Source organism: Homo sapiens, chromosome 10, assembly GCF_000001405.40.
Source record: "Homo sapiens chromosome 10, GRCh38.p14 Primary Assembly".
NCBI lineage: Eukaryota > Metazoa > Chordata > Mammalia > Primates > Hominidae > Homo > Homo sapiens.
This window is the reverse complement of record NC_000010.11, coordinates 87,377,350-87,395,675: the sequence shown is the minus strand read 5'-3', so window position 1 is coordinate 87,395,675 and position 18,326 is coordinate 87,377,350. Positions and strand designations below refer to the sequence as shown.

Sequence of the window (18,326 nt, the reverse complement as noted above, 5' to 3'; positions counted from 1 at the left end):
TTCTGTCTCCTTCCCAGCACACTGACACTGGAAGCACACTATGTCATCACATGAGCAATTCACAGGTGCCATGAAATACCTCACAAATGTACAGTACTTTAACTGTTGACCCCATGTATTAGGTAAGAAAGATATTATTATTTACATTTATCTATTGGAACTTGGGGGCACAGAGTGTTTAAATTACCTGCCCAAGGGCACACAAGTCACTCACCTCTTGTGTTTCAATTATACAATGGCTTAGTGAGTCTTTCTTTCAGACGATTGTTGTGAGGAGTGAATGGAATTAAATCAAGTCTATGTGGAAAGGGCCTGGAGCATGAGTTCTCAATGCAGGGTGACTACTGTCAGCACCAACTAGTTATGATAATGACCATGATGATGACGGGGAGATAATAACACCTTGAAGTAATAATAATGAAGTTAGAATGATACCCCCAAATGTATGAAAATTACGTCTATAAAATGAGTTAGTTTATAAATCGTGAGAAAATGGGCATCCTCAGGTATTGCAGGTAGAAACACACAATGGAATAACTCTTGTCAGCAAGCTAATCCATTTCCAGGAATTATTATTTTTTTTTTTTTGAGACAGTCTTGCTCTGTCACCCAGGTTGGAGTGCAATGGTATGATCTTGGTTCACTGCAACCTCCGCCTCCCAGGTTCAAGTGATTCCCCTGCCTCGGCCCCCCATTAGCTGGGACTACAGGCGCACACCACCATGCCCAGCTAATTTTTGTATTTTTAGTAGAGACGGGGTTTCACCATGTTGACCAGGATGGTCTTGATCTCTTGACCTCGTGTTCTGCCAGCCTCGGCCTCCCAAAGTGCTGGAATTACAGGCATGATCTACCACCCCAAGTCCAGAATTTCCTAACAAGTTCCCAAGAGATGAAGGTGCTACTGGTCAGTGACCCCCTGCTCAAAACCACTGCCCTAGGAGATGGGGGCTCTTCTATGCCCCATTTTTACAGGTAAGGCTGGTCATGGAAGTGGGAGATACAAAATAAAGGGTGGGGTCACGTTCCTTTCTAAAAACCTAAATGCATGTCAGGCAAGTAGGGCTTAGAAAAGAATTTACCCTCCTTCACCTCTGTCACCTCATCCCTCCTTCCAACCTCCATCACTTGTTTGGCAAACTGGACTCTGGGAGCCAGAAGGCACCAGAAAAAGTGGAATGTGAGCCTGCAGGCCATCAAGGTGAAGCCCTGAGGATCCCCCGGGGCCAGTCCCTCCACTTTGATGCGGATAAGCCTCAGCTAGTATCAAGTTGAAAGGAGAAAAAGACAGGTGAGTCACTGTTAAAGAAACAGGTTCACATATGTAGGTCTAGGAGCACTGCAAGTAGTTCTTACAGTGGGAGAGAGCAATTGTGCTCAACTCTGAATCCAGCACAAGGAAGTGGGAATTATAGTCAAGGAGGAGGATGGGGGTTAGCAGATAGGAAATGACTACGAGGGAACATCAAGGGTAAGGGAGGATTCTGGCTAAACTGACCTAACGAGATTCTCGCTGAGCACAGGCCAAGGTTATCTGACATCAGCTGCGGGATGGTGGGGGATGAGGACCCTGATCAGTATATGGTGGACGGGGATTCCTGCCAGCTAAACTGACTTAGCAGGGTAATTTGCTAAAACTGAATTTTACAAAAAGTGCACAGATGCGTTTATCAGAAGGTTCAGAAGCCTGACTAATGTATGGTCAAGCAAACAATTTCTGTCACCACACAGAATGCATGCTCCAGGGACCATACTGGGCCTCAGCATCTTCCTACCCCACCAGCTTCCAGGAGGGCATTTTGCCCTGGGCCTCCTGGGTGTTTCCTTGCCTGATCATTTCTAGGAGACAAGAGACTTGCACTTTATCACCTAGGATAAATTCAGTGTCAGATTTTTAAGCCTAAATCGGATGACAGTGCTTCAGTGACAATCTCAGTTATTTAAAAAGGGAGGTTCATTCATTCACCAGTTCTAAAGGCGCACATAAGACATTCTTTTTTTTTTTTTTTTACAAAAAAATTGAGACCAAGTTAAAAGAAAAAGAATGAGAAAAATCAAGCAACCCGAGTCCCTTATATAATCTCTTCAAAACCCCAAACCAGGGAAATCTTCTCAATATAAACTTGGGAATTTTGTTGATCACTGACTGCAGTCTGGTGGTTTATACTTATTTTCTTGTGTCCTGTTTCCTCCCTTCTCCCACCCCCAGCCCCTCAGCAGGTGCTGCCTTCCTGTCTTGGTCTCATTGTCCTCAAATCAGACCTGCAGGTATGGTCCCAAGTGCTTCTAACCTTCATCCTCATATCCACGGGATCCCCTGAGAACCCAGCTTCTGTTATTGAGAACTGTCCCACCTGCTGACTAAGGAGTCTGATCTTTATTCAGAATCATTGCTAAGACACCAGAAGAAATAACATGTAAGAGTCTAGTATAGAACTCACAGTTCTGATCTGAGGAACTAACAATTGCTTATTTGAATCACTGTATTTTCTATTTATATTCTTTTTTTTTTTTTTTTTTTTTTTGAGATGGAGTCTCGCTATGTCTCTCAGGCTGGAGCGCAGTGGTGCGATCTCGGTTCACTGCAACCTCTGCCTCCCAGGTTTGAGCCGTTGTCCCTGCCTCAGGCTCCTGAGTAGCTGGGATTACAGGCATCCACCACCATGCCTGGCTAATTTTTGTAATTTTTTTTTTTTTTTGAGACAGAGTCTCACTCTGTTGCCCAGGCTGGAGTGCAATGGTGCCAACTCACTCACTGCAACTTCTGCCTCCCTGGGTTCAAGCAATTCTCCTACCTCAGCCTCCTGAGTAGCTAGGATTACAGGCGCCAGCCACCACGCGTGGCTAATTTTTGTATTTTTAGTAGAGACGGGGTTTTGCCATGTTGGCCAAGCTGGTCTCAAACTCCTGACCTCAGGTGATCCACCCGCCTTGGCCTCCCAAAGTGCTGGGATTACTGGTGTGAGCCACCACGCCCGGCCTATATTCATATTTCTATTCACAATATCTCCTACACGGTGTTTTCCTGTTCTATGGGGAGAAATCAGGCAGATAGCAGAAGACACAGGTCAGATCTCAGTAAGAGTTTCTATGGCCTCCAAACAAGCATTTATTGATTATAGATGTAGGGGTGAATATTACGAATATGGGGAGATGTCCCACAAGGTTAGCTCCTATGCTACCTAATGCACCGGGCAGCTTGTCCATAACTTAGTTTAAATATATCTGTCAGGCTCCATGCCCATTTGCTGTAAAAGCAAGATTACTGAGGTAATCTTAGATTTTAAAATGGAAAACTGGGCCTCACAAAAGCAGTTGGGAAAATTACCTGGAGATTGTTTCTAAGGCAGTGCCCAACTGTACCAAGCAAAGGACAAGTACAAAGTCAGAGCTTCATTAACTTGATGATTGATTCATTCACTTACTTAATGCAAGACTTCAGGGGAAGAAGAGTCGCTGAGTGGAGGAGACTGGAAACAATGCATTATGAAACGCCCATGGTCTCTGGATACCCACCCAGCCAGTCCCCACCCTCCTAGGGTCTAGTCTCGACCATCTCATCATGTGTTTTGAGGGTGCGTTTTCCTACCAGTTGTTTTTTTGTCTGCTGTTTTTTTGTTTTTGAGACAGGGTCTCCTCTCGCCCAGGCTGGAGTGCAGTGGTGCGATCTCGGCTCACTATAGCCTCAACCTTCCGGGCTGGGCGATGCTGGTGCCTCAGCCTCCCGACTAGCTGGGACCCCAGGCGCGGGCCACCACACGCGGCTAATTTTTGTATTTTCAGTAGAGAAGGGGTTTCGCCAGGGTGCCCACGCTGTTCTCGAATTACTGGGCTCAAGTGATCTGCCTGCCTCAGCCTCCCAAAGTGCTGGGATTACAGGCATGAGCCACCAGCAACACGCCCAGATTCTTCTACACCCTTAATTGGGAGATAAGGCTTCTGCTTGCAGGCTGTGCGTTCTTCCAACCGGCCGCACCTTTGCTGTGGACTAAACAGGAACCACTGGATTAGAGTCCTCTGGCTCTCTGCCCTGCAGGAGATTTTAATCAAACATTCTAGGCCTAAGGGAAAAGCAGGGTTAGGCTGAAAATGCACACAGGGCTCCCGTAAATTTCTTTTCATAAACCACCTGCCCAGGGCATTAAATAGGGTACTTAGTTGATCCGAACCCTCCAGGGAGGCCTCCGACCCTTCTCTTCGTAGCCCCCAGCTCCCCTCCCCCGGTTCCACTGAGGCAAGGGGACTGAGCTGCTCCACATGCCAGGAGTCAGCACGCCGGAAGGCCCCGCCCAGCGGCTGGCGCAGCCAATCGCAGAGCGGGCAAGCGGTGGGGGCGGGCCTGCCTGGGCGGCAAGGGGGCAGGGGGGTCTAGGGGCTTTAGAGGTCAGTTAGCTGCTTTCGGGCGGCCTTAGGCGACAGGAGACTCCTGGACCCAGCACCTGCCCACTGTGCCTGTCCACCTGTGGCTACAGCAGCTGAGACCCCAGTGGGCTAAGATTGGACAGGGGCCACCAGGGACCCAGCAAGTCCTTCAGCTCTGTGAGTGAGGGATTTTCGGGAGTGCCAGGCCGCAGTATTCCCAGGGCTGGTGGGGTGGGACAGGGAGGCTCGACCCCGGCAAGTCAGGCAGAGGCGCCCCTTGCTCCCTGCAACATCGCCCACGTCCTGGGGCCACAGTGAGCATGAGCGGAGGGCGGGAGCAAGAGCCAGGGGACCTGGCCTGGGTCCCCAGCCCAAAGCCTGGGAAGCTGCCTACGCCTGTGTGGGCGCGGACACTGGGGACTCTGGCGTCCGGTGGTTCGGCCACCTGATTCAGTTTATGCTCTGCGAGGGGAGTTGGAGAGTTGGCAGGACTGGCCCACCTGCAGGACTGCAGGACCGCGGGAACGGCGGTAGATAGGTGCTCCCCTTCCCAGTTTGTCCTGGGAAGACATTCAAGAACTGTTTCATTACAAGGGGCATTTGGAAAACATACTTCACCTTCTGCTGTGTATTAGCCAAGAACAAGGTGTGACGTGACTTCCCAATTATTGGGGATCCCTTTGTCCCTTCTTGAAATTAGATGTCTTCATTCTTGAGGTTTTGCCTGGATGACCTCAGCACAATTGGGACAAAACCTGGGCCGACGGTTTCCTAGTTTCCTGGTTGTTGCCTTAAGCTTCTCGCCCATCAGGTACCTTCCTGTCCTTTTCATAGCCTGTCATCATCACCCCATAAAACTGTTTCAACTCCTACAGCTCTGGACAGGCTGCTTTTCATTTTGGTGGGTCCATCCAATACCTCCACTTGCCCTGTTTTTCTCCAGCCACATCCTTGGCCTCTTCCACAGTCCTTAGGTAAATGCTTGGAAGAATAATTTAAATATTTTTTTTCTACCATGGTGCCTCTAGTTTCTCAGGGCGTAGTAAAATGGCTTTTTAGGATCGGTCTAATCAGATCCTCATTTCTTTTCCCTTCCTAGATTTTTGAAACATGAATCCTTCACTCCTCCTGGCTGCCTTTTGCCTGGGAATTGCCTCAGCTGCTCTAACACGTGACCACAGTTTAGACGCACAATGGACCAAGTGGAAGGCAAAGCACAAGAGATTATATGGCATGGTTGGTGGCATCTGAAACTGTCCAGGGGAACCCCAGAGAGATGGGCATTGCTATTGGGATCATATGGCCAGAGAGTGGCTTCTAGAGGCTGGCTCCTACCAATAACCTAATGCAATAACTTAATAGCACTGATTATGAGCACGATATGGGCATACACCCTTGTTGTGTCTTAGCTTGGAGAACATCTCCTAGAAGTGTCAAGCCTTCCCTGGCCATGGTTACTCTTACATCTCTGTCTGAAGATTCACTTGGTTAGCATATGTTGGGTTTTAATTAGAAATAAATAGCATCGGCGGGGCACGGTGGCTCACGCCTGTAATACCAGCACTTTGGGAGGCCGAGGCAGGCAGATCACAAAGTCAGGAGATTGAGACCATCCTGGCTAACACGGTGAAACCCTGTCTCTACTAAAAAAAAAATACAAAAAGTTAGCATGGTGGCAGGCGCCTGTAGTTCCAGCTACTCGGGAGACTGAGGCAGGAGAATGGCATGAACCCGGGAGGCAGAGCTTGCAGTGAGCTGAGATCGTGCCACTGCACTCCAGCCTGGGCGACAGAGCGAGACTCCGTCTCAAAAAAAAAAAAGAAATGAAGAGCCTCAGTTACATGTTTGCCTTTAGAATGGAGAAGGATGGAGGAGAGCAGTGTGAGAGAAGGACGTGAAGATGATTGAGCAGCACAATCAGGAATACAGCCAAGGGAAACACAGCTTCACAATGGCCATGAACGCCTTTGGAGACATGGTAAGTATGCTGTGGGCTGCCCAGCTCTGTGCTTCCCCTCCTCAGTTCTTTACCAAATTAATCTCTTGCTTCTTAACATTTTATTTACTTTTCTTTGAAGACCAATGAAGAATTCAGGCAGGTGATGAATGGTTTTCAATACCAGAAGCACAGGAAGGGGAAACAGTTCCAGGAACGCCTGCTTCTTGAGATCCCCACATCTGTGGACTGGAGAGAGAAAGGCTACATGACTCCTGTGAAGGATCAGGTGAGACTGTGTTAGGTTCAGACCTCCCATCACCCCAGGAAAGCCAAGAAGCAATTGACATTTGTGCTATGGTAGACTGTGCAGCAACATGCAGTTCACTTTTTAAAGGAGTATTTAGCTACATGAGCTAAATACTCATGTTGTTAAAAGTCTTGCTGTGTGTGTGTGTGTGTGTGTGTGTGTGTGTATCAGCTTTTTTATTCTCTTTTCAGGGTCAGTGTGGCTCTTGTTGGGCTTTTAGTGCAACTGGTGCTCTGGAAGGGCAGATGTTCTGGAAAACAGGCAAACTTATCTCACTGAATGAGCAGAATCTGGTAGACTGCTCTGGGCCTCAAGGCAATGAGGGCTGCAATGGTGACTTCATGGATAATCCCTTCCGGTATGTTCAGGAGAACGGAGGCCTGGACTCTGAGGCATCCTATCCATATGAAGGAAAGGTAAATGGAGCTCCTTTTCTTGCTGCCATTCCTGCTTGGTTTTACTGGGACACTTTCAGAGATAACAGACACTTTTCAGAATTCACGTTTTAGATGGTGGAATCTCTATCTGCAAAGTGACAGTGTTGTCATTATAAATTATAGCCTTTGCACAGTTCTGTGATTACATGGTTAACATGCAGCTGTTCTTGCTTCTATGTGACATGGAGAATATACAAACCATTCTACATATAATACAGATGTCTCCATTGTGAAAAATGTCTTACGGAAAGTAAACCTGGGGGTCTCACTGAAGAGAACTGAGCTAATTTTCAGTTTCAAATTAACTATTAATAATAACATTTCACTTCCTTGGATGATTTGTAACAGTGTTGACTTGGAAATTCTATGCTGCAAACTGCTGAGTGTTGTGGTTCTGACTCACATTCCCCAGGAGAAGGATGGTAGTAATCAAGTCACCTCCCTCTTCACCTTTAAAAGGTTAAAACCTGTAGGTACAATCCCAAGTATTCTGCTGCTAATGACACTGGTTTTGTGGACATCCCTTCACGGGAGAAGGACCTGGCGAAGGCAGTGGCAACTGTGGGGCCCATCTCTGTTGCTGTTGGTGCAAGCCATGTCTTCTTCCAGTTCTATAAAAAAGGTAAGCATCTTTCTTCATAGAAATTATTGCAGAAAAAAAGTAAACCACCATGACACACCAGCATGATGGACTCTATACACGCAATAATCATACCCAATGCTTCTATTTGATATTACATTGAGCGTATCTCCATGAATACCTGTACTTCATAACTTTTTATAAATAGCTATGTTATTTATAGTATAGTTTAATTTACTTAAATATTGTCTAATTGTTGTATTCTTATAATTTTTCCAAAGATTTTTACTTCTGTGATTAAATCTGAAAAGAGCCTTTTGAGTCAAGGATTTTGGTGTTCTGTGCTATTTTTAAGATTGATATTCTAGAGTAGAATTACAAGCTTAAAATGAGTGGTCTTTTATGCCTGTAGGAAAGTTTTTTTATGAGGGACTTATGCTAATTTCTATTTCTGCTAGTTGTGGATGAGAGCCTAATTCCCTAGCCTTGATAACAATAGATCTTGTTAAGCCCGATCTGGACTGTGTGTCATTTCACTGATTTTAGAGATGCCTCCCTCCCTGTGGGTGACAGGGTGGGTTACTGTCAGGTGTCCTTGGGAACTTCTCACCCAGCCTTCATTTTATTCTCTCAGGAATTTATTTTGAGCCACGCTGTGACCCTGAAGGCCTGGATCATGCTATGCTGGTGGTTGGCTACAGCTATGAAGGAGCAGACTCAGATAACAATAAATATTGGCTGGTGAAGAACAGGTATAAATTGCCAGAAAGACTTATAGTTGAAATTCAAAAGGGAATCCTTTTTTGCAATCAGTATTTACATACCACAAGCCCTTAATCACATTTCTGAAATCCCAGAAGTCTTTTTCCCCCTTAGGCAGAACACAGAATATTAATGATTGATTGTAACATCAAGATACTGTCACAAGCATGCTGGGGATATTAATATGGTATTTGTCCCATTGCATGTCTAAATTCTGAACATTTTCTTAATTCTGAAGTAGATCGGCTGGAAAGACATCCTATCCTTTTTCTGTTTCTGATTTTGCAGTTCTGTGAAAGGTCACAGTTTTGGGTCTGGGATTGAAGCGATATGCAGGTTTTGACTCAAGAATTTACAAGGGATGAACAGGAACATCAGCATCTCCTGATTCTTTATGTTAAGGCTGTGGCTTCTGGCACACTGTGGCTTCTGGCTCACTGTTCAAATTAATAACCCAGTGTGCTTTATCCTTCCTCTGAAATGGAAAACCTGCTCTCCTTTCAGCTGGGGTAAAAACTGGGGCATGGATGGCTACATAAAGATGGCCAAAGACCGGAGGAACAACTGTGGAATTGCCACAGCAGCCAGCTACCCCACTGTGTGAGCTGATGGATGGTGATGAGGAAGAACTTGACTGAGGATGGCACATCCAAAGGAGGAATTTATCTTCAATCTACCAGCACCTGCTGTGTTGAATGCACACTTCAATCATTGAAGATCCAAGTGTGAGTGGAATTCTGATATTTTCACACTGGTAAATGTTACCTGTATTTTAATTACTGCTATAAACATGTTTGTATTATTGATTCACTTACTTTGTATTTTCATTTTAAAAGGATATATACAATTTTACCTGTTTAAATAAACTGTAATTTCAAATGTACTGGTGGGGCTTCTTTCTGTTTTGAAGCACTGACTTTTTTGTGTAGTTGTATTAGTCTGTTTTCACGCTGCTGATAAAGACATACCCAAGACTGGGCAATTTATAAAAGAAAGAGATTTAATGGACTCACAGTTCCACGTGGTTGGGGAGGCCTCACAATCATGACAGAAGGTGAAAGGCATGTCTCACATGGCAGCAGAAAAGAGAAGACAATGAGAGTCAAGCGAAAGGGGTTTCCCCTTATAAAACCATCAGCTCTCGTGAGACTTATTCACTATTATGAGAACAGCATGGGAAAGACCTGCCCCCATGATTCAATTACCTCCCATCAGGTTCCTCCCACAACATGTGGGAATTGTGGGAGTTAAAATTCAAGATGAGATTTGGGTGGAACACAGCCAAACCATATCAGTAGTCAAGCATGAAACTGGGCTCTAAGCCATACCTGCTCTACCAGTGGTTCACTAGGAGGAACAGTGGGTGGCCTTCTGGCTCTTCTAGTAACAAATGTGCAGATCTCATGTCAGCTGCCCAGTGGTTGTGTCTGACACAACTCTTGATTGAAGCAAAATATGACAAACGATCTATAAGGACAAAGGAAAATTGTTTTAATAAAGAAAAAATTCACATTTTTCTTTAAAGTGATCAGACATACATGTAATTTCAATACTGAAAAAGAGCCTTAGAGATCATGTTTATCTCACCCACAATGTTTGCAACCCAGTCAAGTTACAGGGCAAAGCTATCAGGGCCAGTTTCTGGAGCATCTTCCCCAGCTGCTGGTGAAGACCCCATGGCCACTTTACAGTTGAGGTGAGAGAAGGCACTAGTGCGTTGGCAAGGCTGTTTGTCTTTGGGTCCTCAAAGGATGAGGGATAAACTCCAGGGTGTGAGGCTGGGCTTCAGGAATGGTGTGCTGGCCTTGGAAGGTGGAAGACAGACAAGAGGACCCAAACTGAGAGTCTGTGGCCACATTCACACCAAGCTACCTGTAAGCACCTGAATTATTTTAACCAACAGAAAAACTTCCCACATTGTATTGGCTAAAAGAGCACATAGTTTCATCACCTGTGTTTTTTCAAAAGTCTCATGTTCCCACTGAAAAAAAAATAAAAGATAGTTAGAAGTGTTTAGTGAATAGACTCCATAATCTTTCAGGAAGAAAACTAGGAGGACAATGGGGTCTCATCCCACAAAGCCTCCAGCAGGCTCCATTTAAGTTCATCTGAACTGGATCATGTGCCATGCTGGACTCTTACGTGCCCTTCCCTAGTTGTTGCTAAAACCATCTTTTTGACATAAAATGACAAAAATGGCAACTGTGAAATTTTATAATAAAAGTAGCCCATGTTAGCAAGAAGATTGGGAAGATTCCCAAGGTAAATCCCTTAACTGTGCAGGTTGGGTCCTAGATTTGATACAGTTAGAATTTATGCAGCAGCCAACATATGCAGGTTATCACCATGGTGGAAGAGACAGGCCCTGACCTCAAGGAGCTGCAACTGTTAGGGAAAGGGAGGTAATGAGGGAGGGTTTCTGGGAGGAAGGGAAAGACAATATCAACCAGAGCAGCCAGTCACTAAGGGAAGGTGAAGAGGTGAGCATCTTAGCAGAGACTAGCATGTCAGTAACCCTGAGAAATGACTGCAGTGAGAGACCCTGCAGAGTGATTAGGTCCAGGTGTTGGGTGATGAAGCTTGCTAAGCGGAGTGTTTGAACATAGGGGACCACTGGAGAGTGCAGGAACAGACCGTTCTGGTTCTCCTCTATTACTGTAAAACAAACCACCCAGAAACTCAGTGGCTTGGTAGAAACATCTTTCACATTTTCCGCCTGGACTTGGCTGTGTGGTTTCACGGGGAGACATCTGTAGGCTCTATCTGTGCTGGAGACATCTGTAGGGCTTGATGGGACTAGACATCTGCAGGGCTTGACGAGACTAGACATCTGCAAACCCTCACTCACAGGGCTGGTTGCAGATGCTGGTGTTGGCTGGGCATTTAGCTTGGGCTGTTGACCAGAGCACCTGCCTGGGGCCTCTCCATGGCTTGGGCTTCTCACAGCATCAACGTTGGGAAAAATATATACATATACCTTGGCAAACTTTAAACACTGAATTGCACAGGTGTTTATGTTCATCTTTATTATTAAATAAACAAAAAAAGTATTATGAGGAGATTTGGTCTCTTTTCTCCAGTAATACAGTTTTAAAATCTCATAATTAACATAATTAAAGTTTTTTATACTTATACTTTCAGTAAGTATTTATTAGTCATTTTTATTTATTTATTTATTTACTTTTTTTGAGATGAGGTTTGGCTCTTGTTGCCCAGGCTGGTGTGCAATGGCACGATCTCAGCTCATTGCAACCTCTGCCTTCCGGGTTCAAACGATTCTCCTGCCTCAGCCTCCCGAGTAACTGGGATTACAGGCATGTGCCACCATACCCAGCTAATTTTGTATTTTTAGTAGAGATGGGGTTTCTCCATGTTGGTCAGGCTGGTCTTGAACTCCCAACCTCAGGTGATCCACCTGCCTTGGTTATAATCTAACCTAATTAAAATCTTTTTAAAAGCAGGACAAAAAATTCAACATTTTGTAAGATTATAGCTACGTTAAAATATGTCTAGAAAATACAGCCAGAGGAAATAAAAACTTTCATTGCCTCAAATTGCCGCAAAGCCAAGGGGCACTGCCCATGGCCAGGGAGGGTGAGCCCTGGAAGCACAGAGGTTGCTGACTCCCAGCCCAGCAGCAGCTGGACGCTCAGCCCCCAGTGCCTGGTTTCTCCTTGCACGTGAATCCAGGTCCCAGCATCTTGTCATTGACAGGAGCAGCCCTGGCTCACCCTCTTGGAAAACAGAAAGATGCTCATGGAGGCTGGCTGTGAGGCAACCTGAGGGCTCTGAAGACCTCCTGTGGGGCTCACACTGGGGCCAGAGCCTCAGCCTCTGACACCCGAGAATGGAGTAGGCAGGATGGGTGGGGCAGAGAAGAAGAAAGTTCTCCGGATGTCCTGGTTAGTCACCCTGACCCTGGGAAATGCACACTCACGGCTGAATCAGGGAGAATCACGTCTTTTGGCCAGAAAAACAAGCCATTATGGCCAGCGAAGCGCTCACTAAGCACACACAAATACACATATATGTGCACCCACAAACACATAGAATTACACACATGCTCAATACACACATAAGTACATGCACACTAACTCATTACACATATGAGCATGTATGCACACAACACACCTATACACATACACTTATGTACAGATGCCCAAATACACACATACTCACACAATACGCATGTATATACATGTAGTCCTGACACACATTCACACACATGTGCACACACACCTACATACACACCACAGTATAATACACTTAGTAGAGTAGTATCGGGGGGCCTCAGTTGTGGTCAGATGGCCTGACACTTAGTCTGAATTGTTAATCATTGAACTGTGTAATTTTGTCTAAATCTTTTCATCTCTGCTTCCAGCCCCCAAAAGAGTGTGGTTGACTGAAATCATCTGGAAGTTCTCTTTAGCTGTAAAATTCTGTGATTTCAATGGAAAAAGACGGTATCATCCACCCAGAGCTCACCTGAGCTCCTTCTCTGTACCCTGAGGAGGATCCCGGGGGCTGGAGTCACAGCATAGGGTGCTTTGGAGGCCATCCTCACCCAGCGCCAGCCCCAAGAGTGTTGCCACCAGGGATAGCCCAGCATCTCCACAGACCTCTGCTGTGGGCATTCCTGTGACTTCTTCCCTGCCCCTCCTCCCCATGCCTACGCACTTCTTCCCTCCTTTCTGATCAAGAATATGCCTTGGGAGCAAGTAGGCAGGAACCAGCAATCTTCTGAGGCCCAGCGCTTCCAGAAAGAGGTCGGCAGCTGTCTGTCCTGGGGACGTTTCCTGGTGGAGGTGGAAGGGGGCTCACTGCTCCTTAACACGCTCTTTCAAGAGTGCCTCCCTGGTTTACTCTTTCTGGTCAGGGCATTCATTTGGAGCAGACAAGCCTGTTCCCTGTCCCAACTCAACATCTGGAAGTTGCTGGGTCATGGGCTCCAGGTGTTGTTTGGAGCCTCTCATCAGCATGTGACTTTTGGTTGTGATGATAAAGTCTGACCGCACCTCAGGTTGTCACCCAAAGCTCAGCTACAATCTCTACAAATTACCCCTGAAAGCAAATTTCTCAGGCAACTGTGGGGCTCAGCCCGTGGCCTGGTAGGTGAGCCAGGATGTGGCCCTCACTGGGCATTTCATACCTGTGGCCAGCACAGGGCTGGCACCATAGTGGTACCCAACAGCCCCTTGTTGGAAGAATGAATTTGAGCACCCCACTCCTCATGAACAGCTTGGCCTGATTAAGTTCTCAAGAATCCAAAGGCCTGCAAACACTATGACATCCTCCCACATATGAATTCAAACTGAACAAAAACCCTGAAAACTAAAAAAAAAAAAAAAAAAAAAAAAAAAAAAAAAGGAAAAAAAAGAAAATGAGCCAAGGAACAATCACTTCTTCCCATTAGGAAGACCACTTTGTACTTTGTAGGTGGTTATTTTGGAAATAACAATCTTTCACTTTTCTTATCCCCCATTTCTCTAGGGGCCTCTGCTTTGCTGGGCTGCTCTAAATACAATGGGTAGTCCTGTACTTCACTCTGCCAGATTTATTGTTACCTGGACATTTTTAGGTGCCAGCTTTATCTTTTTATTTTTATTTTCAAAATGTGGTAAAACATAAATAACATAAAATTGATCATTTTAACTATCTTGAACTGCACAGATTGGTGGCATTAAATACATTCACATTTTTATGCAACCAACACCACCATCCATCCATGAATACTTTCATCCTGCAAAACAGAAACCATCTTTTTACTCCCCTAGCAAGCATGCCCTCCTCTCTAGCTTATATTTATTTTATGCTACATAGAATATCCTAGAAGCAGAGAATCTGAGCAGTGGAGGGCACCTGGTAAGGTTATCTCTTCCAAACACCTGCCCTTCAGCAAAACCACACGTGGGGTAGACTGAGCCAGGCAGAATCAACCTTGTTTTTAAATGTACAAAGCTAGGCCTTCTTTGGAAGTCACGTATTTGAAATATCAAGTTGGAAAATTCTTTTTCTAAAGTAAAAATTTTCTTTGTCATTTCCTCCAGTTACTCTTTTTCTTTTTCAGATTGAAAATAACCAGTTACTGTCCTCAGGGAATCAACAATTTCATGAGCAGTGACTTCCTGGGAGGCCGTGGTTCTCAAACGTTAGCCGGCCTCAGTGTCAGCTGGAGGGGTTATGAAAGCACAGATCGCTGCACCTAACCCCAGAGTTTTAGATCCCAGGGGTCCAAGGAGGACTCCAGAAGTTGCATTTCCAGCAAATTCCCATGTGATGCTGATGCTGTTGGACTGGGGACCCCATTTTAAGAAATGCTGCTATAAGGCCCAGTGCTAGGAAATCTGAAGGATAGAAATATGCGGGTACCTAAGAGGTGGGAACAAATGGGAATTAACAAGGTAAATGGGTTAAACTTCACGTGGAAAGTGCCAAACGCCCTTCACATAAGCCCTTTGCTGTCATAGAGCTCACAAGCTCAGGGTGCGGTGCAGGAGGCTGACGTGAACAGTAGTTTGGGATGTCAGTCTTTCATACCGGGAACTGTGTGGACACTGCAGGGGAGCACAGCGCTCAGGCTGGATGAGGAAGGGGCCGGGGATGGCTTCCTGCAGACCTGGAAGCATCAGGAGCCATTCCTGGGTGGATTCTTAAAGAAAAGAAGGTGTCCAGACAAAGGGGCCGGGCGAGGCACATGCTCTTCCAGCAGAGGAACAACGTGGAACTGAAAAGGGGACATGGAGCATTCACGGGGCAGCAAGCTGTGCAAGTGTCCCCAAGGGGAGCGTGGAAGTGAGGCAGTGAGGACAGAGTGCGGAGGCGGGCAGGGCGAGACCCAGAAGGCATGGTAACACAGGAGGAGGAGCCCAGGTGATATTCTGAAGGCTCCTTTGACATCGAGGACAGAGAAAGCTTTGCTAAGACTCCATATAAGGGGGCATCAGAGAGGAAAGGAGAAGCAGGAACACAGCTCTCTCCAGTCCTCTAGGTCCTCCACTATAGGATAGCCTAGGTGCAGACAAAATTTCCTTTCCTTTTTGTTTTGTTGGAAGATTTTGGAATTGCATGGAGGAAAACTTGTAAAGACACTGGGCAAGCCTAGAACCAAAATGAACACAAAGAGGATACAGAAGGTGGGTCTGGAGGTGAACAGAGGAGGCTTCCAACTCCATCTTGTCTTGTGCTGCAGTCTCTGTATTTAAATAGAGACCTAATTCCCTCACAAGACCCACAGGACCTCACAGGGGCTGGCCTCCCTGCTGTTTTCAGCCTGAGCTCACAGGCGCTGGCCCTCACTCTTCCTGCTCCCGCTCCATAAGCCTCTTTCAAACTGGGTTTGCCAGGCTGTCTTCTGCCCCAACCCTTTCCCCAGGTGGTTTCCTCCATCTGGAGTAGTCTTGCCCTCACCTGACTAATTAACTACGTTTAATCTAAGACCCACTCCCTCAGGGCAATCTGATCTACCTGCATAGGTTCAATCTCTACTCTTAGAGGGTTTTAAGCATTGGGTACTTTTACTTGATAGCACTTAGTGGTTGTTATTTGTGTAATTAGTTGTTGAATGTCTCTTCTACTAGAACAGGGGTCAGCAAACCATAGCCAGCTTTGGCCTGAAGTCTGATTTTGTAAATAAAATGTTAATGGAGGAGATCAGGTGCCTACAGGGTCATATTGCTGGAGATGTGGAGTGACCGATCAAGATCAACATATTTTGGTTCATTTGGATGATCGACTTAACAGAGAGCTTCCATATTTTTATCTATTTAACATTTCTTTGGTGCCAGGGCATGACATTTTCTTTGTTATAGAGAAATATTAAAGAAAAAAAAGAATGCACAGGGAGTTAATATGAAATATTGTGTTCTCACCAAGTGAAGGCCAAAAGGCTTCATTACAGGATGTGCAAAGGAAGCCTCTGTGTAACTTACATAGGGACAAGTGGTGGAAGCAGCCAATTACTGCAAAGCACACCGCCAACAGGCGGGTCTCAGGAGAGTCTGCATGTGGACAGGGGGCGCCACTTCCTCACAGCGGAGGGGAGTGACTGTTCTGCCTTTGTTCCATTATATTAATATTGTCATTTGAATTTTATGAGGTCTCTGCATTTGTTGATCTGCAAGTTTCTTTAGGTTTTATGGTTGCAAGGTATCTACATGCCTACATTCTTTATATCTAGTTTTAAGGTTACATATAATTAATATATATAATATTTAATTAAAAATTAAAATATGTAAGATATATATTATAAAATATATAGACACATGAACAGAGGCAGAGCAACAAGAATAAGGTTTTAATTTACAATCAGGACAGAGAAGAGCCCATCAAAGTAAACAGGCAAGGGGAAGAGGGGCACCTGGAAATAGCAGCGGGCATCCTGCCAGTTCAAAGAATAGAGACCTGGCTGGGGGCTTTGGTCAGCCAGATGAACAGTCAAGCCGGGGAGGGCACAGATGATGATGACACATGCTGGCTTCTTCTTCTGTCCACAGGGGAGTGCCTCAAATACACTGTGGTTCTGATTGGGCTCATCAGCCCCACATCCTCCTCCAACACACACACGCGCACACACACACACACACACACACACTTTGAGGTTTGGGGCCTCTGGCTTTTATAAGGAGAGAGCAGCTTAAATTTAACTTCAATGGACTGAGCCCCTTCCTCCAGGAGCAATGTCCATTCATGGGGACCATATGTGGAGGGAGACTTGCTTCTTATTTGTTCCTCATCATACCACCTGTGTGTACCAGGTGGGCCTTGGGCGCTCTTTCTGAATGGGGACCCTAATTGTGTTCAGTTGCAGCAGTTGTGGTGCCATTCCCCATCGCACAATCTGTTCTGGAGGAGGATGTTGCAGAGACGCTGCTCCATAAACTGGAGTTGCCTGGAGGAGCCCTGATGGGAAGGCTTGGAAAAACAGGGGCACTGGGGACAGAGGCTTTTCATTGCTGCCCATCAGGGGGCCCCAAGTGTGGGCTGAGGGGTGGGCCTGGAGAATATGAATGTAGCCAGGCAGACGTAAGCCGATGTCTTTCCAGGGTGCCTCTATTGTGCACTGAATTTGGGAAATTAAGAGGGTGCTCACTCTGGAGCTTGGTGAAGATTTGAAAACCACAGCGTTAGTAGTGGAAGTCATGTCCATAGCAAAGAGCTGAGGGCTCAAGGAGGCTGCAAGGTCAGGTGGGCAGATGCCCTTGCTGTGATGGTGGAAATGGCTGCTGTGGAATTCATCTGCTGATGAGTGATAGCAGGGATCCCGGTGGAAGGTGCTGGAAGAGGAGTTGGGGAGGAAAGAGGAGGAGAGGAAAACACATATGGGTGTAGGAGGCTCCCTTCTGAAGGGAAGCTGGAAGGAGAAAGATGCGGGGCTAGGAGGTATGGGGCAGGGCTGAGAGGTCAGAGGTGCTGAAGCTGCAGCTGAATGAGGGCAGCCTCCTTTCTCATTAGGTGGAACCCCCAAAATGGGGGCAAGTTCAGCAGGAAGACCCCGGGGAGAGTTAGGAATTATGGATATCAATTTTTACTCAATTCTTGGTGTGGGCGAAGGTGGAGGGACAGGCAGGGTGAGGGGCCCAGCAGCCATGTGGGCCAAGTCAGAGGTAGGAGGAGGAGCTGGGATCTGTGAAGTGTAGGTGGCCCGGGCAGGGAGTCTCAGCAGGTGTGGAGACAGCAGGGGCAGGCTGGGTGGCACTGCAGTTTGCCATGTCTTCTTTTTTGAGGCGGAATCTCGTTCTGTCGCCAGGCTGGAGTGCAGTGGTGCAATCTCCACTCACTGCAACCTCCACCTCCCGAGTTCAAGCCATTGTCCTGCCTCAGCCTCTTGAGTAGCTGGGACTACAGGCACGAGCCACCATGCCCGGCTAATTTTTGTATTTTCAGTAAAGACGGGGTTTCACCGTGTTGGCCAGGATGGTCTCGATCTCTCGACCTCGTGAT

General features: G+C 46.3%; 2 pseudogenes, besides 2 other annotated features; one reads left to right on the top strand and one right to left on the bottom strand.

Annotated features, from left to right (window-relative positions):
- Positions 4,204-5,178: an enhancer, noted in NCBI's record as "H3K4me1 hESC enhancer chr10:89150255-89151229 (GRCh37/hg19 assembly coordinates)". NCBI's record gives its function as "activates a minimal SCP1, AML or CMV promoter by ChIP-STARR-seq in naive H9 embryonic stem cells {active_cell/tissue: H9 hESC(naive)}" and the evidence as "EXISTENCE:reporter gene assay evidence [ECO:0000049][PMID:30033119]".
- Positions 5,461-9,315, top strand: CTSLP1 (cathepsin L pseudogene 1; annotated as a pseudogene).
- Positions 12,091-12,592: an enhancer, noted in NCBI's record as "H3K4me1 hESC enhancer chr10:89142841-89143342 (GRCh37/hg19 assembly coordinates)". NCBI's record gives its function as "activates a minimal SCP1, AML or CMV promoter by ChIP-STARR-seq in primed H9 embryonic stem cells {active_cell/tissue: H9 hESC(primed)}" and the evidence as "EXISTENCE:reporter gene assay evidence [ECO:0000049][PMID:30033119]".
- On the bottom strand, positions 17,228-18,103 carry NPAP1P3 (nuclear pore associated protein 1 pseudogene 3; annotated as a pseudogene).